General features: G+C 45.8%; 1 protein-coding gene across 21 annotated transcripts in view, besides 1 other annotated feature; it reads right to left on the bottom strand.

The window, feature by feature from the left end:
- Positions 1-25533, bottom strand: part of FAM163A (family with sequence similarity 163 member A) — an 88423-nt gene that overhangs the window by 24093 nt on the left and 38797 nt on the right. The window contains exon 2 of one of the 21 annotated variants that reach the window (NM_001393418.1): positions 21333-21469. The exons of the other annotated variants lie outside the window; for them this stretch is intronic. The gene's annotated coding sequence lies outside the window, so the exon portion shown is untranslated. The remainder of the gene's footprint in view (positions 1-21332; positions 21470-25533) is intronic. 21 annotated transcript variants of the gene reach the window in all.
- Positions 3269-3816: an enhancer, noted in NCBI's record as "OCT4-NANOG-H3K27ac-H3K4me1 hESC enhancer chr1:179757425-179757972 (GRCh37/hg19 assembly coordinates)". NCBI's record gives its function as "activates a minimal SCP1, AML or CMV promoter by ChIP-STARR-seq in naive H9 embryonic stem cells {active_cell/tissue: H9 hESC(naive)}" and the evidence as "EXISTENCE:reporter gene assay evidence [ECO:0000049][PMID:30033119]".

Raw genomic sequence — 25533 nt, 5'->3', positions numbered from 1 at the left:
AGAGAGATTGAGAAACTTGCTCAAGGTCACACATCTAGTAAGTGGCAGTCAGGATTTGGAGCCTGGTCTCCATGAGTCAAAGTTCATTCATCTCTATACTCCATTGCCTGGCAGAGTGAGCCTTCAACTTAATACTACTAAATGCTGTTTCTGGAACAGGAAGACATCGGAATAAAGGACCGCTGCTAGCAGTGAGAAAACTGCAGAGACGAATGAGCTAGTACTTCAGGAGGCAGTTCGACCAGCATCCAATCATAATTGGAAGTGATTAAGCTTTTGGTGGGACGGCAAGCTTGGCTAGGTGGTTGGAATGAATGACTTTTACGGTTCCTTCAACTCAAGATCTTGCTATCCTAACATTTGTAGGGGTGAGGGCAAAAATATAAATGGAGGCCACAGATGATATGTCTAAATATTTAAAAGTTAAAAATCCAGTTAGCAACTGTTAAATGAAAACGCGTTCCATCCTCGAACACCTGGAAGATCAGCTCCATGCTGAAATGTGGCGGCATGGGAAGAGCTGGCTTAGTTGCCAGCCTGCAGCCTATTCCCCTTCTTTTTCCACCCTAGACTGTACCCCTTAGGAGCCTCATGTACATGCAGTGTGAACACCCCAGCTCTAATTGTACAGGTTCCATCCCCTGTCCCCAAAGAACTGCCTCCTGGCCATGCTGCAGGCACAGGGTATGCATACCCTTGGAAGGAGAGAGCAGGGGGAAGAGGCCTGCATGGGCCCGGGAAGCAGCTTTGGGTTGTTTGGACAGCGCAAGGATATGGTCTAGAAGGGAGGGCACAGGCTTGCTCTCCATGGAGGATGTGGTACGGCCTGAGGAGGGCCAGCATAGGGGCCTCTCGTGCCTGGGTCCTTAGACCCAGTCGGCAGTGTTACTGCCGACACTGAAGTCTCATAACGTTAGGTTCCTTGGGCCTTTCCTTTCTCTTGGACGTTTATATTATCTTGAGATAATATATTATCTGAGATTAAGACTAACAGCCTCTGTCTGGGACAAAGACACCTAGGCTGGATGATTGAGCTGGGCTTCAGGGGAGCTTTGCTGGACTGTTAGACTTTGGGTACAGTGGGCCTAAAAGGGACTATTGCTGGAGAAATGCAGGCCAAATAACTGATGGGAGCTCTAGTTTGTTTCCTTTCGTGTTCTGTTCTTTTCTCCCTGGTTGGCTGCCTATCCATCATCCCTTACTTAAGAATATTCCGGGTTTTGGAGGAATTTCCCTCTTTTATCCCACAACTTTCTTCTACTTAGTCTCTTCTGTGTCCTCATTCTCTAATGTTCTAAAGGCCACTATATTCCCAGGTCTGTCCAGTCTGAGCTGGAGCTGCCTTCTCCCACCTTGACAGTGGACCTTTTGTGGAGTGAGTATCTTCAACTGTGTCTTCAAAGTTGACAGGCAGATCACCTGAGGTCAGGAGTGATCTGACCTAATCCTAAAATCCTAATCTCAGTGAGTGCTGACTGCCATCCATCCAGATCAGTGGAAGGGTGAGTTTGATCTCTTAGGGGAGACAAAGCTATAGAGGCCAGGTCTGCCTCACTTGCCGAACCAACTCGTCGTTTATCCAGCCTGTATCTGCAGGTGGGTTGGAGGGGCTGCTCAGTGCTGGGTTAAAAGTGTGAATTCTAGAGACTGTCAGCCAGACCTGGGTTGAAATACTGGCTCCCCTCCTTATAAGCTGTGTAAACTGGGCAAATCACCTCATCACTTTGGGCCTCAGTTTCCCATCTCCAAAATCTGTAATATGGGGAGACTAGTAAATACATTCTAGGGCCATTAGGAGACTTAATGAGAAAGTTGACAAAAAACCTCTTAGTTTTGCAGTGGCAAGCCCATAACAGCAGCTCAAAAAAAAAAAAAAAAAAAAAAAAAGGAAGTCAGCTGTTATTAATACTTCCCACTCCTGTTAATAGTATCCCTCCAGTCTCTAGGCTTGGAGCCATGGCATTATCTTTGACACTGCTTTCTGTACCTACTGCTACCATCTGGGTTGAGGGTCATACTTCAAACAGTCCCTTTCCTACCAATCTCTTCTCCTTTCCATCTTTTCTGTATGTTGCTGTATTCACTTTCCTAAACCATTCTTTGGTCATGTCCTTTCCCTCTTCTAAAACATTCTGGGGGTTGCTATTGCCCACTACATAAAACACAGCCTCACCTGTTCAGCCCTCCTAAATGTAGCCCTAGTCCTACTCTTCTGCCATGATTTCCCACAACCCAAAATATGGTTGCTTTATTTGTGGATTTTGGTAAATATCTTGGGTTCCAAATTCAGTTTGTACCATTTTTTTTAGTTGTGTAACCCTGGACAAGGCTTTAATTGCCTTTGAGTGCCTGTGTTCTCATCCTGGGTAATATTACTCGATTAGTTAATGACTTTGCCTTCCTCCCAGACCAGTTTCCATGTGATAGCACCCTACCAATGTTAAGTCTTTCACCACTGCAGCTCATGCCCAGGACATTCTCCACCCTTCTCTTTTAAGAGATACCTCAAGGTCTACATCCTCCTGGTTGGATGATAGGATCCAAGATTCAATGATGTTCTAAAATAAGGAAAAGAAGGGGAAGGAAGAGTGGTAGAAGAGGAGGAAAAATAAGAATCTGATCCCTGCCGGGGGCGGTGGCTCACGCCTGTAATCCCGGCACTTTGGGAGGCCAAGGTGGGCAGATCACCTGAGGTCAGGAGTTCAAGACCAACCTGGCCAACAAGGTGAAACCCCATCTCTACTAAAAATGCAAAAATTAGCTGGGTGTGGTGGCAGGTGCCTGTAATCCCAGATACTTGGGAGGCTGAGGCAGGAGAATCATTTGAACCTGGGAGGTGGAGGTTGCAGTGAGCTGAGATAGCACCACTGCACTCCAGCATGGGTGACGGAGTGAGACCCCATCTCAAAAAAGAAAAAAAAATCTAGTCTCCTCTCTGCTCCCCTGGGAATGCACTGAAGATTTTGAGATTAAATAACCACAAATTTTACTTATTTCAAGTTGTGTTTTTAATGGCTGACCAGAGTGATCTTTGGGCTCATAGAAGAGAGTCTGGTGGCAGACATGCCCACTGGGAGGCCTGCTCCATGTCAGCATGGGCTGGAGAGTGGAGGCTGACATGTACTAAATGAAGAGACTGTTTAAGGGAACACTGGTGGGCAAGCAAGGGCTCAGCCCTGGGCACAGCACCACAGTGCACATAGACGGCGGCAATTCTCTGCGCCAGGTAAACACCCCACCTGGTGAGTGAGGCAGGCTGGAGGGTTGGACCTTGCACTGGAAGGTAGTCACAGCCAGGGTGCCTTGTTTGCAGACTTCTTGAGCCCCCTTTTTGTGACCTCTTTCCTCCGCAAAGCTGCAACCCTGCATTTCTATATTCCTGCATAATGCCATACCAGATATATAACATGCATCACATCATTCAATGTTGCAAGATCCCTGGGATATAGATATTATTTTCCCCGCTTTGGAGACAGTAAAACTGAGGCTCAGAAATTTAAATTACTGTCCAAACCCATGCCACTGGTAAGAGGCAGGGCTAGGATCCGCAAACCCGAAAGCTCCACTTCACATTGAGTTTATCTGGACTCAGCCCATTAGTGATCTATACCGGTTCTCACAGGCTTTGTCATGTAAAAGAAAGCAGCAGGGCCAGTGGAAGAGCAGGTCCTGTTCAGAGCAGGCTTTCCCTGTGAGCTTCAGGGTGAGGAATCTTCCCTAGGAGGAAGTAAATGGGCTCCAGATGGTTAACAAATGCAGTCTGGGAGTAACAGTTTTATTTCAAACAAGAGAAATATCGTTCGGATTTACCAAAGCTATGAACAGGTGAGTGGGTGGTGGGAAAGAGAGAGGATTATTCAGTTTCAGAATGATTTCCCTTGGCTGGAGAAGAATTCTCTTGGCTTGACTGGAGACTAGAGGAGCAGGGAAATAGATGCAGAAGGAAACTGAAGTCAAACCTGCCACTGATTACACATTGTGAGAAGTGATTAGGTGGTGGTTGACAAAATTACCTTTATAGAGAAAATCCTGAAAAACACATCACTCATATTTGCATAGCATTTCACAGCTTACAAAGCCCATATATTAACTTGTTGTCTCCTAGAATCTCTGAGCTGGAGGGCACCTGGACCAGCAGTTTCCAAGCCTGGTTGACATCCAGGTCGCTTTGTAACGGTCCCCAGATTTCACCCAGACCCAGGGTGTCTCTATGGGTGGGAGGCTGGGGGGTTAAATGTGCCCCTGGGGCTTCCCATGGTGATCTGGATTTGGGCACTGCCAATCTCCACCAGGACAACTGCCACCACCTCTCACTTCGGCCCTGCAGTGGGTTCTTCACTGAGCTCCAGTCCTCCCATATCCAGGCCCTTCTCCATTCTGCCACCAGACAGAAGTTCCCTAAAACACATGGAGTCAGGTCCCGCCCCTGCTCCTGGACAGGAGAAAGGCTGGCACTTTGGGGGAGCTGTAGAGCGGTGTGTCTAGACCTCATGCTCAGGCCCTGGCTACTCCTCACGCAAGGCTCCTCCTCTGTGAAGTGTTTCCTGATTTCACCCCTGCCTGTGGAGCAGGTGCTGTAGATCTTCTAATATTATAGCAATGCTCTCAGGGTCATGTCGTTATTTGATTACAGAACCATTTATCTGCACAAAACTGTGCGCGAGGGAACCTTCGGGGCAGGGGCTATGCCTTGTTCATTTCTGTATCCCTGGAGCACATGGTAGGATCTCTATAAACACCAGCTGAATGAACACATTGCATGCTGGCACCTTGAGCTATCATTGATGTGCATTTTAGATCAAGCAGGTCTCAGGAATAGATGTGTTTAGGGTGAGCTCTCCTTGCTCAAAGGCCTAATAGCCCAGCTAAATAGCTCTCTATTTACTACAAATTAAGAGGAGCCTCGGGCTAAAGAGATTGCTTAGGAACTGGAAGACTCTGCTTTGGGTCTGATACCACTTGTTCCATGACCACTTAATGTTTTCGAAATAATCTCATTTCAAACATTATTAATAATACTGCTTTGTATGTTAAAGGATGTCACGGTTTGCTAATGGACTTTAATTCATCCTCTACATCTCTGATGGGTAGGAAGGTCTCCCTCCCTTTTCCTGGCAGCAGGCCTGATGCGGCCAGGGTGCAGGCAGAGCTGGTGGCAAGGAGCCAGTGGAGAACTCTGGCACCCTGCTTTGTCAGCCAGCTCATTCCACTGCCAGACCCTCGGGAAAGGGCCTCGGCTCCTGGGTCCTGAAATACACACAGATACTTAAGGATGAGGACAGAGGCCTTGGGCTGAGACACGCCAGGGGCTAGACAGGTTACAGGTCACTTTGGAAATGCTCAGGATTTGAGTCCTGAGGTCTGAATTTAAATCCTGGTTTTCCTTGAGACTTTGAGAAAGTTATTCAATCTCTCTGAACCTTGATACTTTCATTTGTTAATGGGTATAATACTTGTGTCTTCCTTACTGGGTTGTCTTGAGGATTCAATGGGCACAATTATGTCAGAGGGCTTAGCAGGTGGCTAAGTGCTACACACACGTGGCTGGTATTACCCCTTAAGGCTGAGCCCTGGGGAACCCTCTTCGCTGCTGGGCAGAGGCTTTGGTGGGGAAGTAGAAGAGCCCAGCTCTGCTCCTAGGTCCATAACCTGTGTTCGTTTTACTTTGTGCATGGCACTCAGGCCTGCAGCCCAGATTGGTGGCTGGCCCTAAGACTCTTTCTCTGGGGTTGAATAGGACATCCAACTTATGCCTGGCTCTGAATCTACCCTGGGGAGACCTGAGACCCTGCTGCTGTCACTGTTGCCATCCTGAGGGTGAGGGAGCTCAGAAAAGCCTAGCCAGGGCTGGTGGGAAGGAGCATCCACTCCAGGTTAGGGCCTGTGTGGCTCTGGGAGCCTTTTGTGATGTGTTAGTAGGTACTAAGTGGCTATTTGGATTAAAACAAAATAACATCTTTTTAAATCCAACAACTTGGTCAAGATTAAAAAGTATTAATTACTAGCCCCTTTTTGGCAAGGGAGTGGGGAAATGGCCACCAGTATACACTAGTAGAACCTCCCCAGAAGGTGATTTGGCAACATACACCAGTCTTAAAGATCAAGGGCTCAGCAATTCCACTTCAAGCATTTCCCCAAAGGAAATAATTATGGTTATGTGAAGAGATGTCAACTCGATGTTCACTGCAGCATTATATATGAAGGGAAATCTGTAAGGAATCAAATTCCTTAACAACGGGGGAAGCTAAATACACTATGGCACATGTAGAATACCATGGAAAAATAATATTATCAAATATTGCTGAGCAAACAGGCTACAAAACAGTATTAGTAAATGACACTCTTTAAATATGTTTCTGAAAGCAAAACAAATGTGTACATATAGCCTATTAAAAAGCCTGGAATAATATATCCTAAAGTGCTAACCATTTTTTTAAGGGGTGGAATTATGGATTATTTCTCCATTGTGTTTTTCAGTGTTTTAAAGGTTTTGCCTCGAACTCATACATCACTTATACATTGTGAAGAGATCATTTTTATGACCCCCTCCCCACTCCCCCAAAACAAAAACAACAAACCAAAACCAAAGCTGGAGTGTGGGCTGGGCTGCTGGAGGCTCAGAATTCCCAGCTACACCCAAGAGAGCAGGCTACAGAACGAAAACCCAGGGAATGCCTTTTTGATCTCCGTCTTCATGTTCTCTCATTTTATCAAAGAAAACCTCAGTTGGAAGATGTGGGTGTACAGGAGATAATGTGCTTCAGAGACTTCCACTCACAGTTTAGAAATGCCTGTATTTATAGCTTGTGCAGTGACCTTTCTAGTCGACCACAATTTATGGTTTCTTAATTGGTTTTCTGGAAACAAGCAGTGGTAACTTATATACCAGGCAAGGGAGGAGCAAATCTAATCAGTTGCCAGGGTGAGGAATGGGGGGTGGGAGTTGTGGACCAGGGGAGGCTGGATGTGTTCTCTTCACAACAGCCTTCCTGACGCACTGAATTACTGCGCCTTTAATTGATCTGGTGAATCACAGTGAGATGTTGGAGAAGCTGGGCTCTAAATGAATAATCTCTTCATGTTCTATATTTATTTGTCCTCCCACAGTGACGTCCATGGCCAAATTCTAAGGTTGGCCAGCTTTTCTTTGACATTTGGGACTACCTGCCGGGTAGCCAGGCAACAGAAGAGTCCAGTTTACCCAAGATAATTGAAGGGACAGAGATGAGGAGGATTAAAGTTACTTGTTAAGTCAGTGAAATAAAGTCATCACAAGGAAAGGAACTGGAAGGAATACTCCACACCCCCAGCATCTAGATTTTATACACTGCGACATGTCACAATTCTAGGCTATCTTCTACCTGAAAGAAATGAGTATGCTTTTTCTTTTCGGGGCATATAATAGGAATTCAGCAAATGTTAGTCTATTTTTCCTTCTGTGCTTCATGTGCGCAGGTTTTGTGCTTTCTCAAGATAAGCCCCTCAAGGGAAGATGCTATACTGTTTTCTCTGGGTCTGTTGTGTATGTATATAGGGCAATGCTGGACCAAGCAGGAAGGGACTATTGAAGGTTACACTGGAGACATGCCTGCCATGTGCCAGGCACTGCGTTAACTGTGAATTTAGTTCACCCTCACAACAGATTCTGTAATGCAGAATTGTCTTTATTTTCAGAGGATACAACAGGTTCAGAGAGGTTAAATTAACTTGTCTAGTAAGTAACTTTTCTCCAACATCCAGTAAGTTACAGAGCTGGTATGTGAACTTACACAGCGTGGCTTTGCATCTTACACTCTTACCTCCTCCACCACTGCTCTCAAAGAGGAGGCAGGTTTGGCCCAAGGTCGGGGCATAGGCAAGTTGAGCTGTGGCCAGGTTATTCCTGGTGAAGGCAGGAGGTTCTGGAAGGCCCAAGATGATAATGTGTGGAGGGCAGATTTGTTATCAATTACGCCCAACCCTGAATTGCACCCTAGCCTTCCAGGAAGCCTCCACCTGATCTGGTCACAACAGACCACAGCCAACCTATGCAGAAGGATCAGACTCTTGATGGCCTCAGAGGCAGCAGGAATCTCACCTGTATCTCTCTCCCTTGGGACTTCTATTCCAAATGTGCCCCTGGCCAGTGTTTGAACAAATTTCTGAGCCAGCTAGGTATAATCGGGAAAATGTTCCTTATAGCCAACTAGTGTATCCCATCAGGAAATACAATTTATTTTAGTTTCTCTTTTTTACTAAATTATATAAATTTATATAAAATTATACAATTTATATATATAATTATATAATATTTGGGAATTATATATTATATAATAAATTATATAATATATATATAATAAATTATATAATATATATATAATATTTGGGCTCAATTATATAAAATTTGGGAAGTATAAAAAAGTGCCAAGTGTGTGGCAGTCCTACATAGTGGCTGACGGTTAATACAAACAGGATCAGATTCTGGATTTGCTACTTAATATCTATGTAGCCATGGGTCAACTTTTAAACCTTTCCATACCTCACTTTTCTTATATACTAAGTAAGATTATCTTTTTCTATTCATTCTATTATTTCATCAGGATGTCATGGGGTAGGAAAAATAAAAAAAAGGTGTTGATCAGCTATTTTAAGTTAAAATACTTTTTAATGCACATTTAAAAAATAAACATTGTCAAACTATTTTCCCAAACGGTTTTACAAAATTTCACTGCCACCTAGCAACACAGGAGTTGTACCACAATGTTATCAACATAAGGTCATTGTTAGGATGGGTCATTAAACCCAATAAATGTTAGTTATTAACAGTAATCAACTCCCTTTCCAGAAGCAGCAACAGTTAAGTCTTTCCCCATGTTTCTACTCAGTCTTTTCCACATATTTTATTCTTCAGATAGTTGAGACTATGCTGTCTGTACAGTTTGGCATTCTGCATTTTGAATGAATGAATGAATGGCTTTTTCCTTTTTTTTTTTTTTTAAGACGGAGTTTCACTCTTGTCGCCCAGGTTGGAGTGCAATGGCACGATCTCGGCTCACTGCAACCTCTATCTCTGGGTTCAAGCAATTCTCATGCCTCAGCCTCCCAAGTAGCTGGGATTACAGGCATGCACCACCACACCGGGCTAATTTTGTACATGAATGAATGAATGGCTTTCAAACCATCCAAGTGGTTTGGGATACAAGTTGCTGGAAATGCACACAGGCTGAGGACAGAGGGGCCAACTGTGACCACGGTTTGAAGAAACGGCACCAGCCAGGGGTGGGAGGTCTGGATTGCAATGCTGACATTGCCTCTAAGAGTTGGATATTCTCAGACAAGTTTTCTCAGCTTCTCTAGGAAACAGTTGCCTCCTCTGTAACATGAAAGCGCGGACTCAGGACATTTAATGATTGCTCTGGCTCTAATGTTCTTTATTCTCAAACCAAGAAGGTGCCTGGCAGGGTGGCTTAGAACTTTGGGTTCTAGAAAGGGAAGGAGATGGCAGCAGCTTCAGGGTGCCTGGGAAGGATGATGGGCACAAGAAACTGTTCAGAACCCTGGCCAACGGCCTCTGAGAATCCAGATTCTGCGAGCAAAGCCCACCAGGCCAGCCTTACCAGTACCAGAGGAGTCTCCATCCCGTCCTGCTTGCACAAGCTTTCCCGCCCGCCAAATGAGAAGATGCTCCTGTGCTGCCCGGACCACATCACCAGGCCTCACTGTGTCCCTGCCGACCGGCCCTTCTGGTCCCCTTCTCCCCTTCCCCATCTCTGCCCCCACAGCCTTACATTAGTGTCCGTCTCATCCCCTCTACATTGGCTAATTCAATGAGTCCCAGGTCTGTTAAATTAAGCCCACTGCTGCCCCTGCCAGAATCCTCTAACAGCTCTAATTGGAAAAACAGCCTCAGCCTCTGCCTATCAAAGCTGATTATATCCATGCGCACAGAGGCCTGGTCCTTGTCCGGCATGCTCACTCCACCCGGCCCGTGAGATCATTTCGCCTGTTCCCCAGGGCTGTCTGCCAGCTGCAAAGGAGTCAGCCTGGTAGAGGCGCCTTCTCCACGTCAAGGAGCAGCAGCTGGCCTCCCAAGCCGGCCCTGATAGCATAAACAAGTTTGTGCTCATCACAGGGAACTGGAAAACAACTTGTGCTCGAAGCAAGACGTCTTTTTTTTTTTTTTTTTTTTTTTTGATACGGATTCTTGCTCTGTTGCCCAGGCTAGAGTGCAGCAGCACGATCTTGGCTCACTGTGACCTCCGCCTCCTGGGCTCAAGCGATTCTCCTGCCTCAGCCTCCCGAGTAGCTGGGATTACAGTCACCCGCCACCATGCCCAGCTAATTTTTGTATTTTTAGTAGAGACGGGGTTTCACCATGTTGGCCAGGCTGGTCTTGAACTCCTGAACTAGTGATCCTCCCGCCTGGGCCTCCCAAAGTGCTGGGATTACAGGCATGAGCCACCGCGCCTGGCCAAGACGTCATTTTTAACTAACCTGCATTTACCACCCTCATCCCTGCAATCCCAGCGGAGTCTCTCACACTGGAGGGAAGGATTTACTCCAAGTAAAGGTACACTTGCCCCAGGAAGCCATCCCAAGAGAGTATAGTCCAAGTATGTACTAATTCCCAGGTGCCTGCTCATTTGAGCCCCTTTCTCGGGGGTCAGAGCAGTCAACCAACCGAGAACTCTGTGAGGATCTAATACGTGCCCCATGCTATACTGCAGCTAGATGTGGGAGAAGGGGAGATCAGAGAGAAGTGGAATCATGCCTCCACATAAACCAGTGGGTTTTAAAAATATTTTTTGAGGTAAAATTCATATAAGATTCACACTGTCACCATCTGAAAGTGTACAATTCAGTAGTTCTTAGGATAATCACCATATTGTTGAACCATCACCACTATCAGATTCCAGAATATTTTCATCACCCTAAAAAGAAACTCTGTTCCTAGTAGGTAGTCAGGCCCCATGCTCCTCTCTCATCCAGGCCTGGGCAACCACGAATCTACTTTCACTCTCGGTTAAGCCCCTCATTTTAAAGCCATCGTGTATGCTTGCATTTCTCCCCTCGTCTCTACGGTTTTCATAACTGAGTACCACCAGACCTTTGCATGGAGCACATTAGATGCTTTTACTTCTGAGATCTCAAAACACTTAAACACTGCAGTTTCCTTGGTTCTTGCCACATATTATAATCAGCAAATGCCCTCTGTCCTGTCAACACCAAAATGATGAGAACACTCTGATTCTGTGATGAAAGTCTGGTAATACAGCTCTGGTCTAGCTGATGTAACTAGGTAGCATTAGAAGTTTAGCCAATGTCAAGAACCTTATTTTGTCAGGAAGAATGAGGCATTTTAGGCAAACATAAGAAAGCACAAAGACAGTTAATGCAAACTGTCTTGGGGCAGGTACCTGTGTAGGAATCACACAAACTTTAGCAAGTATCAAAATCACCTGGAGGACCTGTTAAAATGTGCATTGCCGGCCCCACCCAAGTTTCTGATTCAGCAGGTCTGGGGTGAGTCTTGAGAATGTGCATTTCTAACAAGTTCCCAGGTGATGCTGATGTTGCTCATCTGGGGACCACACTTCGAGAACCACTGGCATATTGACTAATGGTCACAGCAAGGAAGAACGATCACCGAGCTTATGCGTTTGGCTTTGTTTCAATTTCACTTCTTTAGGCTAACTGATAAGGTTAAAGTCTTGTCTTGATGATGGTCACTGGCAAATAACACTGTTGTATTTCTACAAGTATGTTTTATGTTCAAAATTTTCCATTTCACACTTGGGAGCCAAGATCAGTAATTCCTTAATGTGCTTGCAACAGGGCATAATCAAGTAATAAATAATTTCCTTTCTGAAGAGAAGTGTGATTGTGGATTATTTTATCCTGTCAGTTATGGTCAATCTTTGAGATCTTTACCCATAACATAAATATACATTTGCATAGTCCTGTGCCTTTTGGCCCATTATCTAGAGGGCTCTCTCCCTTGAATATGTGTCATAGTATTCACATGAACCTGCCTGGCCACAAGTGCCCATATCTTGTACTCCAGGGACAGAGCCAAGAGTCAGACTTTGGGTCACAGCCAGGGCATTCTTCAGAGCATGCAATCTTTGTGAAAACAACCATTTATAGTTTTATAGTGTTTTCATATTGTCTAACATAAAGCTCAAAACAACCTTCTCACATAAACTGGGCTGGTATTTCAAATCTATTTAGCACATACATAAACTGTGGCTTGGTTTACTGAGGTGATTTGCCCAAGATGTTCCAGTTAGTGGTGAAGCCAGGCCTCTAACCAACATATCCTCCACTTTATCATTCACGTGGATTCCCAGAGTTAAAGCTCCACTGATCTTTATGAATGCCCTGAGAGTGCCACTTGAAAACAACATAAATCTGTTTATCTACAGTAAGATAGTAAAAAGCCCATATGAGCCGATAAACAGGAAATAGGAATGCACATTACCATTTGGTTTTTAGTCTCAAATGTCTAGAAAGCCAAGATCATGCTCCCTGGAACAACTGTCTATTCATTCAATGGAAACAGCATCTTGTCACTGCCTGAGCTCTTTCTCTGAGACCCATAAATGGGGTCCCACTGGGACTTTTAAGGCTTTCAGGAGGGAGCAGGTCTCTATGCTGGCCAAGAGTCACCCACAGTCCCAAATCCCACCAGCTCTCATTAAAGTATCAGGGGCCAGGGAGGCTCTTCCAAGGCCTGCTTTAACCACAAACTGAAGGCATGATCCTGACTGCTGCAGCCTGCTTCATTCATATCCCCCTGAGCCCTGGTCTAAGCCAACTCCCTCTTCAAAAAGGCTGAAATCCAACCTATTCCTTCTACTCCTGCTACCACAGACTACTGCCAGGATAAAATATTTTATTTTGATATGACTTTTGTTGATCCTTTTCTAATAATATAAATATTGGTAAAGATAAAAGTGTAAGGAAAAGAAAAACTACCCAGATTCTTAACACCCAAATTAATCACCGTTAATATTTTCCATCATTTTTTGATATGAATGTACACTGAGAGCATTTAATTTTGTAGTAACTTTCTAAAACATAACTAGGTTTCTGTCCTGCCTAAACCTTTTGAAGGCTCCTCCAGCCTCTGAGATGACATCTAAATATTCCCTGCCTTGCTGCGTCAGCCTTCCCTCTCCTTATGAACCTCCCTCCCAAACCCTGTGAGTCTAGCTCGGAGCCTCTATTAGGTCTGTGTCTGTCTGTCTGGCTATGCTCCACAGTGTTTGAAGAAACATTGTTACTAGGTGGGTTGCACCCAGCCCCACTACAAGCCCCTTGGCACCTATTTCCTTATACTCTTCCCCCACCCCTCACGCCTTATACATATACGTCAACTGCACACCACTGCAGGCCTTTGAGTTTGCAGCCTGAGTGTCTAGCTATACTGATCCGTGTACCTTTCCCCACACCTGCCTATAAGCCTTTGCTCAAGAGATTGCCCTTGCTTGGAATGCTACTATCTTTCCTACTACTGCTTGTGAGGAAATCCAGATCCAATTCTCATTTTTTTCAGGTCCCATGGTCTGTAAAACGTCTTCCTTCCCTCTGCTCCTGGGGCATGCGATGCTCTACTCCACTCCTTTGCATGAACTGCAGACTCACATAAGCACATGTTCCCTCACCCTCTGGAATTCCTAGTGGCTCGGGATCACCCCATTTGGCCTTTTATTCCATAAAATGCTGTTCACAAGTAGGTGCTTGGGGTCGGTGGAACTGAAACTGATCACAGCTGTGTAAGGCCTTGGGCTCACCCATTTTCACCTGATCAGCACCTGGGGTGCTGTCTCTTCCTTGGAGTCAGGGATATGGGGTGTAAGGAGGCTGCTCTGGCCTCCTCGTGATCTTACCTAGGCCAGCCCTGGGTTCTACGTTCAGAGTTCATGGCAGGAAGACATCTATATTCACAACTGTTAAGATGGGAAAATGATTTGTTACATCTTACCCCAACCTAAAGAGGATTTTAGGTGCTTCAGAAATACAGGTGGTTCCCAACTTATAATTTTTTGACTTTATAATGGATTTGTCAAGGTATGACATGCATTTTCAACTGATGACAGGCTTATGGGAACATAACACCATCATAGTCCAGGAGCATCTGTACACTCAGTAGGATAAAAATGGAATGAAGATCGCAGGGAGGATAGCATAGCAACATGCAGCCAGTCAGTCATGAGGTTGGTCTGCAGAACTGCAGGACGTGAGCTGCAGATTTAACTCTGAGCTTCTTAGCAACCAACGTGAAAAGAGAAATACAGTCAGTTAAACCAAATCACAGTGTGGAGGAGCTTAGTTTTTCTTTCCACTAAGCCTTGAGAGGAATTTCTCCTGAGGATCCTCTTAAAGGGGAGGCTGAGAGCTATAGGGGAAAGTTGTTACTACACCATTACATATTTAAAAAGCAGCTTCTTACTGTATCTCCCAGGGGAGTCTGAGGACTAACACCCAGGTACGGCTCTTTGAAAGGAGTGTACCAGGAAGCAGCAGTGTTCAAACCTTCAGTTTTCTGGCAGGTGACCTTGATCTGGAGCTTGGGGCATCTGCAGCAGCACATCAGAACCGCTGCCCAGAGTCCAGGAGGTCTGAGAGGCTCTTCGGGTCTGTGGGGGGTGGCACACGAAGGCTGATCTCACGGAGCTCCTGGCCTCCTTGTCTAACTCACCCACAGCATTTCTGCCTTTTTATGTTTTTACATGTTAGAATTTGGGGTCAGCTGTTTGACAAAAGAGTTTTGCATCAAAAACTGAAGTTTAAAAACCTGTCATGAGTAATATTTCTCTTCAGTGAGCTTTTGACAAGCATTTGCTGACATAAATTCATGTTTAAAGTTTTTGGGCAAAAATTTAAGAAGATTACCATTCTTAGGTGTATACCCAGAAGATAGGTACTCAAACAAATACAGGTACCTGCATGTTCAGAGCAGCACTATTCACAACAGCAAAAAGGTGGAAACAGTGTTCATGGATGGAGGAATGGATCAAAAATTGTGAGAGGTTCATACAATCCGATGCTACTCAGTCATGAAAAGGAATGGCATTCTGATGCATGCTACAACATGGACAAACCTCCAAGACAGGTTAAGTGAAAAGAGCCATTCACAAAAGTTCACATATTGCATAATTCCATTGGCGTAAAATTTCCAGAATAGTCCAATGCATAGACAGGGTACAGCTTGGGGAGAACTGCTTAATAGGTAAATATAATAGGGTTTGATTTTGGAATGATGGCAATGTGACACTAAATAGAGGTAGTGGTTGTACAACACCATGAATGTGCTAACTGCCATTGAACTGAACACTTTGAAATGGTGCTTTTATGATATATGAATTTCACTTCGATACATTAAACAGATTTAAATTAAACAGATTAAACAGGGAAAATCATCCATATTGCCAATTAAAGACCATTTCGCAATTTGACAGTCGACCAGGCAGAGGGTAGGCCTGGCATCCTATGGAAATGAAGGGGCTTTCTCAGGGCCGATACACACACACTTACCTCCTTATCAGGCAGGGCTGAGGGGATAAGTGGCCATAAGTGAATGCTACGGCAGTAAAGTTGTAGGTGGTTTCTCTCTCTGTTTTTTTTTTTTTTGAAATGGAGTCTTGCTCTTTCGTCCTGGCTGGAGTGCAGTGGTGTGATCTCGGCTCACTGCAACCTCCATCTTCCAGGTTTAAGCGATTCTCCTGCCTCAGCCTCCTGAGTAGCTGGTATTACAGGTGTGCACCACCATGCCCAGCTAATTTTTGTATTTTTAGTAGAGACGGGGTTTCCATGTTGGTCAGGTCTTGAACTCCTGGCCTCAAATGATCAGCTCACCTCGGCCACCCAACAAAGTGCCGGTATTACAGGTGTGAGCCACTGCACCTGGCCAGTAGGTGGTTTCTCTTTCATGTGATTCCTGGCCACGATTTACACTGCTCTTATCTCTTCAGCACCTGGCACAGAATAAGCTGTCCAAGAAATGCTGACTCGTTGACTAGACCAGCACCAAGTGTAGGCCTCTTATTTTGAATCTATGATGCACCTATTTCCCAAACCCTCATATGTAACAATCTCCCTAATGCCACCCAACCCCCACCCCATCTGATCAATTCATTCAGGCTTGTCTGCTGTTGAATTTATAGCAAAGAATTAATAGGAATAAATCTTTTCCGCCAAGGACCCTGGGGAATATTCTGAGGGTAGTAAAATTCAGCCTCACCTCAACAGAGTTACTTCACAAGCTCACACTTATCTTTGTCCTGTTCTTCACTGCTAGAATAAAGGTCGGCCCCAGCTCTTTTCCTGAGAGTCCTCAAAGTATTCTGCGGGCATCTGTCCACACTCATAAGACAATATATTCTTTTATTTTTTCATCCATCTATCCTACTGATATTTATTGAATACTGAATGTGAGTGTTGATCATATGCCAGGCACTGTGCCAGGCTATAACTGGGGCTAAAATTAGACAAAACAAGCAAGGCTCCCCTGAATAGGAATCTACAGACACTAGCCACAATTATAAGTGTGCTGGGCTTTGACAGGGGATATTGCGATTGAGGCAGGAGAATAGGGTCTGGAGGAAAGGAACCTAAGGCCATTTCACGCTGACTTCTTAGAACTAAATTGAAAGGAAAACCCTAACTTCCCATGCCTAAGTAACAAAAGGACCAGAGGCTACTCCCTTTGCAAATCCCCACCTTTTCTGCGTGGCAGATAGAAACTGGCTGTCTGCAACCAATCAGACTGATTGTAGACTAAGTCTTCGTTTGCATAGAAGTGCAACTTTGTAACTTCACCTTAGCCTCTGATTGGTTGCTTTTTGCAACCAATTGGATGTTTGCACAGGAGTATGACCTCTGTAATTTCACTTCAGCCTCTGATTGGTTGCTTTCGGCAACCAATCAGACCGTTTGTAGGCCACCACTTCATTTACATGAGGTGAGAGCCAAGTGGCCAATGGGGAGCCTCTGGGGGTATTTGGACCCAAGAAAATTCTGCACCCAGGCCCTTGAGCTGCTGCTGGCTGCTTGGGCCAACTCCCACAATGTGGAGTGTACTTTCATTTTCAATAAATCGTTGCTTTCGTTCTTTTGTTGCTTCATTCTTTCCTTGCTTTGCCGTGCGTTTTGTCCAATTCTTTGTTCAAAACGTCAAGAACCTGGACAATTTGCAGTCAAGACCTGCTACCGGTAACACTATGGGAATGTTTTTCAGTGGAACAGACGGGCCTGGGGGCTCAGGGAAACTCTCCCTAGCCTTGAGAGATTCACTCAGCCAGAACTAAAAATGAGGTCAGTGGGGACAGCATGGAGATGAGTTCGTCCAGGGTCTGCGGGTGGAAACAGGCTGTCCTGGCCGTGACTTCTGCCTGGACTGAAAGATGCTCACCCCACAGGGAACCAGGAGGATCAGTGTCGCTTCCATCAGCTCAGCCCACCGGTCAAAGCTCAGTGAATTCTCACCTGCTCTTCTGCTCTAGCTGCTTCCCTGCTGTACTCAGCCCTTACCTTCAACTCCCTCAGCACTCCTCCTCCAGTCTCCCACTCTCTGTATCACTGGGGATCATTCTCAGCTGCTAGGAGCTTGTGGATGCCTTTGAGAACCTGACGAAGGCTATGGACAGTCTTCCCGGAGAAAAAAGCACATAGGGAATTCTGCCTACAAGTTTAGAAAATTCATGAAACCCCTAAAGCTCATCCTTGGAGCCCACCACTTCCCTGGGCATCCATGGGCTCAGGACTGGGAAGGCCGGACCTGTAACCCCAGAAGCCTCTCACACTCCATCAGGCCTGGCTGCCTGCAGCACACCTCAGCTGGTAGCACCTGCCCTGCAATGTGCCTGTCCCTCCTCAGGGCAACCGAGAGTCTCAGAGAGCTGTTGTGGGAAAGCCTCAGGCAGAGTTCTGGCTGAGCAGAAGCTCCTGACAAGTGGTTTAATTCCTTCCCATGGGGGCACAGTGAGGTTCAGCAAGGCTGCCCAGGGGTGAGAAAGCAGCTGGTGCTGGCTGATGCCTTAAGGAAGAGAGCTCCAGAACATGGACAAAGATGACAGGATGGAGTACTTTAAAAACCACTTGGAAATATGCTTCAGTACTTCCTGCTCTCACTGCAGTCACTACAGCAACCTGCAGGTCTCAAAAGTCCCTCTTTGCTCACTGCCCCTTTCAATTAGACAAAGTCATTTTCATTCTCTGTTTAGTGGGCAACATGCCTGCGAATACCGGTGCTTTCTCAGAACGGAGGCTTCTGAAGGTAAAAGATGTCCGTTTCATTGGCTCTCTTCAGGGCCATATGGGTGAAGAGGCAAGTGCTTCATAAATACCAGCCATAGCTTTGGGGCCTGCTCTCTAGAGGCCGATGCTTTAATGCAGACAGCACTAACCCGGCAAGGTATGGACTGCTTGGGAAGCACCTTACTGCTAGGTCATGAAGGCCTTAATTATGCTAAGAACCTTGGACTGCTTACAGCGGGGAATGGGTTAGGTTTACAGCAGAGACACTAGTTGCTTATGACACCTCCCCTTCATTATTTTTGCTTCTTCAATGTTTTGTTTTGAGACAGTTGTAGATTTACATGCAGTTGTAAGAAATAATACAGATCCCATATACTCCTCACCCAGTTTCCCCCAATGGTAACATCTTGCAAAACTATAGTGCAATATCACACCAGGAAATTGACACCGATACAATCTAGTGACATTTGGATTTCTCCAGTTTTACATGAACATATGCATGTGTGCACGCTTATCTGTGCATGTGTATATTTAGCTCTATGCAGTTCTATCACTTGCGTAGATTTGTGACCACCACCACAGTCAAGATACAAAACAGTTCTATCATAAGGATCCCTGGTGCTATCCTTTGGTAGCCACAGTCACTTCCTTCTCTACCCACCCCCTGACAACTATCAATCTATTTTCCATTTCTATAATTTTGTTATTTCAAGAATGGTATATAAATTGGATCATACAGTGCTATATGTAAAATTTTGAAAGAACTTCAATTTTTAGCTGAGTATATTGCCACCCAGAACAAAAAACTACTTCTCAGCTTCCCTTGTATCTAGTATGGCCATGTGACCAAATTCTGATGAACTAGATTTAAGTGGAAGTGTTATTTGGGTCTCTTGGGAAGGCTGCTTAAACGTGGGGAGCTGACTCAGCTGGAAGAGTCCTCCTTTTGGCTCTTGTGCTTTTTCTCCTGGTCTGTATTAGGATATGATGGCTGGAGTTCTAGCAGCCATCTAGAGCCAAGAGGTAACTAACCTTAGTGATAGAGCAAGCCATGTTCTAGGAGTTGAAACAGAAAGCTAGGGCCCTGGGTTCCTAATGACACCATGGAGCTGTTAGATCAGCCCTGCACTGTCCATGGCCAAACTCCTTTTAAGTGAGAGAGAAGTAGATTTTTATTGTTAGCTGTTATAGCCAATTAAACCCTATCCTAACTACAACAAAGTGTCTTAGGTCTTTAAGCAGAGAAGAAACTTGCTCAGAGCAATGCTTCAGGGCAGTGGTTCTCAAACGTTAGTATGCATTGAATTACCAACAGATTGCTGGGCCCCACCTACAGAGTTTCTGAATCAGCAGATTTGGAATGGGGCCTGAGAATGTGCATTTCTGACAAGTCTCCCAGTGATGCTGATGCTGCTGGTCTACTTTAAGAACTTTAAATGGACTCGGCAGCAGAGTAGACAATGGTCTGGAGACATAAAGACTGAAAAAGATGATCTGGAGGACTGGGGAGGTAACAAAATGCCAGCACAGTAAGACCTAAACCAAGGGTGAGGGTTGGAGGAACTCAAAGGAGATGGATGTGAGAGCCTGTGGGACAGCAGGGACAGGACCTCTGGGCTGACCAGATGTGTGAGCAGAGGAAAGGAAGGTGGCAGAGGTGGCTATGGGTTTTTAAGCCTGGGGATCAGAGAATGCCAGGACTGTTAACAGAAAGTCCGGAGGAGTTGCTATTTAGAGGGCAGCAGCTTGACTTTGACCTTGATATTCAGTGAAATTGAAATGCAAAATAAGAGCAGGAGAGATGTTCAGGCTAGAGACTGTGACCTGGGAGCTGCCACCTGGAGGGGTCATTTGGAGCAGCTGAATAGATGGTGTGGCCAGAGAACAGAATCTCAAAAAACTGACCTGCAGAGAGGTTAGGAAGATGGGGACATGCCAGCAGATGAGTCAAAGAGCAGATAATCAGAAGCCCAGGCAGGCTGAGGGGTGCCAGGGAGCCTGAGGAGAGCATCTGAGAGCAGAGGATGGCCAGCGGCATCCAGGGCAGCAGAGAGGCCAAGCAGATGACTGAGGATTTGTGATTAGATGGGCATGGGGGGATTTGGCAAGACTGATGTCAGTAACAGCAGTGGAGCTGGGGGATGTGGAGCTGTGATGATGTGGAGGCGGTGAACCGTCTCTGGGGAGGAAAGGGAGCAGAGAGCCAGGATGTGAGCTATGAGGCTCATGGGGCAGGAAGGAGCTTTAGAAGAGACAGATATCCAAGCACAGGTGTAGACGGAAGCAAAGAGCCCAGGATGAGGGGACAGACCAAAGATACAAGAAAAAATGGGGCAGTGCTGGCACAAGGGCCTGAATGAGGAAAGAGAGGGTGAGGTAGACGCACAGGCCAGAGAGGCACTTCAGAGACAAAACAGGAAAAAGAGGGTAGGATGGAAACTCTGCAAAGGAGAGAACAAAAATGACAGCAGCTCTCACAGGGCGCCTCAGTGAGGCCCAGAGGTCAGACAGGTAAAGCTGATGGGCCTGGACCATCTGTGGGCGGGACAGACCCCAGTGCTGGGTGGGACTCTGTGGGTGCAGAGCTGGTGGGGCTGCCAGCGGAGGGGATGCACAGGGGGAGCCGGCACTCTGTCTTGGAACCTCCACTGGGGGCTGAAGCTGTGGACGGCTGGGCAGCTCCCTTGACAATGGGGGAGTGTTCAGAAGGCACTGTCCTGGTCCCGCATGGGGTGGGGTGGTAGTGGCAGGGTTAGAAGATCTAACAGCAGAGTGTGCTTGAGATCATACCGGAAAAAGCAGGCCCTGTCAGCAGAGGGCAGCAGGATAGATTCTGCAGCAACTGGAAAACTTCCTTCAGTGATAATCAGACCAGGGAACATTTGTGGGATGACTTTGAAGGCACAGGGATATCTGCGGACTTGAGGATACTGTGACCTGCTTGTTGCAATACATATTTCTGTACTTTTTCCTTTCTTGCAAATCAAATATATTCAGTCAGCTCAAAAAGAAATTTACTGAACCCCTGTAATAAGGGGGCTAAGTCCTATGATGGGGGCGTTTCCAGGTGAGCACAGAGAAGGAACACCAACCTGACTTGGGGAGAGGAGGTCAAGGGATGCTTCTTGGAGGAAGCGAGGTTCAGCTGAGGCCTGTGGGGTGCGCAAGTCATCCAGACCAAGGCAGGAGGGAGAGTGTTCCAGGCAGAGGGGGCAGCATGTTCAAAGGCCTGGAAATGAGAAAGAGCATGGTGCTTTTGAGGAACTGAAAGAATTTCAGGGTGGCTGGGGCACAGGGATAGAGAAGGCTGGAGATGAAAAATGAGACTGGACAGGCAAAGAGAGGCCAGGTGCCCCCAAGACTCTGGCACTGCTAAAGTTCAGCCTTCATTCCAAGAGCAATGGGAAGGCTTTCTTGTTTTAAGTACACGGGGATGAGTGACACGATCAGAAGAACAGATGGGAAGTTCAGGAAGCCAGGCTAAGAGTGCTGAGTGGGAGGCCAATTAGGAAGTATTGCAATAACCCAGGTAAGAGATGATAGCAGCTTGAACTAGGGTAGTGGCCATGGCCATGAATGAGCAAATATGAGGTATTTAGGAGGCAAATTCAATCACAGCATTGGTTGGATATAGAAAAAGGGAAGAATTAGGGATGAAAGAGGCCAGGCGCGGTGGCTCACACCTGTAATCCCAGCACTTTGAGAGGCCAAGGCAGGCAGATCACGAGGTCAGGAGATTGAGACAATCCTGGCTAACACGGTGAAACCCCGTGTCTACTAAAAATACAAAAAAGTAGCCAGGCGTGGTGGCAGGCGCCTGTAGTCCCAGCTACTCGGGAGGATGAGGCAGGAGAACGGTGTGAACCTGGGAGGCGGAGCTTGCAGTGAGCCGAGATCACGCCACTGCACTCCAGCCTGGGTGACAGAGCAAGACTGTCTCAAAAAAAAAAAAAAAAAAAAAAAAAGAATTAGGGATGAAAGAGTAAATGAATACTTAAAACAAATGAACAAAACAATGTATTTACTTTGTGATGTGGCCAAACTGTTTATAAGTAAGAAAGCTGGTGACTGCCAATTGCCTCTGGTGGAGAAGCACTCTAGGTCCAGGTTCAGGATGGAAGGCCTGATCCCAGAGCACGGCCTGCTCCATGGACAAAGCTCAGCTCCTCATGCCACTGCCACCTCTGCCACGGGGCTACATACATCTGCTGGTGCCGTTCCCGCAGCCTGCAGGGATTTTTGTTGGTGTTTACATTGCCTGCCCAATGGCTGTGTTACTTTATTTTCCAGAGCTTACAATTGATAATAGTCAAAACTCCTCCTATTTCAGCAATAATCTGCTGAGTTCTTGAAGAGTGGGAGGCAGGTGTGACCTATCCAAATGTAAGATGAAAAGAGTTTTTTAAGATTCAAACATTTTTATTTTGGAAGACCTCTGTAATCCCAGAACTTTGGGAGGCCAAGGCAGGAGGACCATTTGAGCCCAGGAGTTCAAGACCAACCTGGACAGTGTAGTGAGATCCCATCTCTACAAAAAAAAAAAATTGAAAAAATTAGCCAGGCATGGTGGCATGCAACTGTGGTCTCAGCTACTCAGGAGGCTATGGTAGGAGAATCATTTAAGCCCAGGAGTTTGAGGCTGCAGTGAGTCATGATCACTCCACTGCACTCCAACCTGGGTGAGAGAGCGAGATCTTGTCTCAAAGTAAATAAGTAAATAAATAAATAAAAAATTTCAAACATATTCAAAAGTAGAGAGAATGGTATAATGAGCCCCCAGCCTAGTTTCATCCATACTTTCCAATAATGATTTTGAAGCATATCCTAGACATCATGTTTAATTTATAATCACTTCAGTATGCATCTCTAAAAGTCTTTTTAAAAAGCATATAACACAATACCATTAATGCGCTGAAACAAATGAACAATAATTCCTTAGTATCTTTAAAAATCCAGTGTCCAGGCCGGGTGCAGTGGCTCACGCCTGTAATCCCAGCACTTTGGGAGGCTGAGACAGGCGGATCATGAGGTCAGGAGATCGAGACCATCCTGGCCAACATGGTGAAACCCCGTCTCTACTAAAAATACAAAAATTAGCTGGGCATGGTGCCGTGCACTTGTAATCCCAGCTACTTGGGAGGCTGAGGCAGGAGAATCACTTGAACCCAGGAGGTTGAGGTTGCAGTGAGCCAAGATCATACCACTGTACTTCAGCCTGGCGACAGAGTGAGACTCCGCCTCAAAAAAAAAAAAAATCCAGTGTCCATATACATAAGACACTTGACCACACCAAAGCCAAAGCTGGATGTTCTCACAGGTGTACAGTGATCAGGACTAGCCCAGCCACCATCACTTGCCCCTGCAGCCTCTAGTAATCTTGGAGAGCCTATTTTCACTAACACCATGTTAGACCAGAGCCCCTAAATGCTGTTGCCAGAATCCAGGAGAGAATAATAAAAATCTGTACAAACAGACATCTTATTGGCTGTGTGGTCTTGAGCAATTATTGCCACACTTATTGGCTGTGTGGTCTTGGTCTTATTGACTGTGTGGTCTTTGTTTATGTGGGTGATGAGTTGCAAAATAAAGGGTTAAAAAAAACTTCTGAGGAAGTGACCCAAATGTCTATCAACAGATAAACAGTTAAAGAGATGTGGTATATCCATACAATGGAATATTATGCAGCCTTAAGAAGGAAATCCTGTCATATGCTACAGCACGGACAGACATTATGCTAAATGAAATAAGCCATTCACAAAAGAACAAATACCATATGATTCCACTCATATGACGTATCTAAAGTACTCAAAATCATACAAACAAAGTAGAAAATGTGGTGGCCAAGGACTGAGGGAAGGGGAGAGGGGAGATTAGTGTTTAATGGTTACAGAGTTTTAATTTTTCAAGATGAAAATTATCTAGAGATCTGTTGCCCAACTATATACTATACTTAACACTACTTAACACTTACGAATGGTTAAGAGGGGAAATTAATTGTTGTGTGCTTTTTTTAACCACAATAAATTTTTTAAAAAAACTTCTGAGGTCCCTTCTGGCTATAGGAATTAGAGGGCCATCGTAAAATTCTGGGATGCTGTTACATTGACCTGTGTTGGGAGGGCATTGGAGCACCAGGATTCTCCTTCTGTGGGGAGAGGGATGGGAGAGAAGCTGCACCTGGAGCAGCAGGCTGCAGGTAGGGGGTGCCAGGGCCTGGACAGGCTCTGTAAGGTAGGAGTGGGGGACAGGGGTTTTTTTCTCACCAAGAGAAACAAAAGAAAGTGGAAGCCTTTATCAAGGGCTGAGTTGTCCTCAGGGAACATTCCAGGGAAAAAAGGAGAAGGCTCCCAGTTGGCTGAGAGCAGCCATGCGGGGGGATGTGAAGTGACAGATACAAATGTGTAGTATACTGGCAGCCGTGTGGGAGATTAAAAGTGCACAATGCTGAGAGCTGGCAGTGGAGGGGAGGGAGCTGGGGAAGGCTGAGTCCCTGAACATCTTCCCAGGGCACTCGGTCTGCAGAGTGCTTTTAGCGCTCATTATCATAGGCCATTTTTCAAATTAGCACAAGCCTGGCCTAAGGGAAGCCAGGCAACAGTGAGCAGGATTGGACTCGAACATGTCCAGCCCCTTCTCTGTGACCTCTTCTGGGAAGGTTTCTCTGGAATCTGAGCATGCCAGAGAGTGGAAGGCAGATTCACTGTACTAGACGGTCATATTGTCTTGGTGCCTGATATCATCTCTGAGGGAAGACACTGGGAGAACGATGGCAGGGAGGACTCCTGTTTGTAGCTTCGAAAAAGGAGTAAAGGCCGGGGGCGGTGGTTCATGTCTGTAATCCTAGCAATTTGGGAGGCTGAGATGGGCAGATCACCTGAGGTCAGGAGCTCGAGACCAGCCTGGCCAACATGGTGAAACCCTGTCTCTACTAAAAAGATAAAAATTAGCCGAGCGTGGTGGCATGTGCCTGTAATCCCAGCTACTTGGGAGGCTGAAGCAGGAGAATCGCTTGAACCCGGGAGGCAGAGGTTGCAGTGAGCCAAGATTGTGCCATTGCACTCCAGCCTGGGCGACAAGAGTAAAACTACGTCTCCAAACCGAAAAAAAAAAAAGAAAGAAAAGTAAAAAGGAGTGAAGTGCATCTCAAATGTGAGGGGCCATTGGGTGTAAAGAGAAAGTTCTGTCTATGCTGTGGGGTGTAAGGAGAAAGTTCCCTTTGGTTCTCTGAAGTTTCACTGAAAAATCAACTCGAAAAAGGCAGATTAATTGGAGGAAAGGCATACACATTTATTT

The sequence above is a fragment of the Homo sapiens genome, chromosome 1, assembly GCF_000001405.40.
Source record: "Homo sapiens chromosome 1, GRCh38.p14 Primary Assembly".
NCBI lineage: Eukaryota > Metazoa > Chordata > Mammalia > Primates > Hominidae > Homo > Homo sapiens.
The sequence above is the reverse complement of the archived record's forward strand: the minus strand, read 5'-3'. Positions and strand labels throughout refer to the sequence as shown.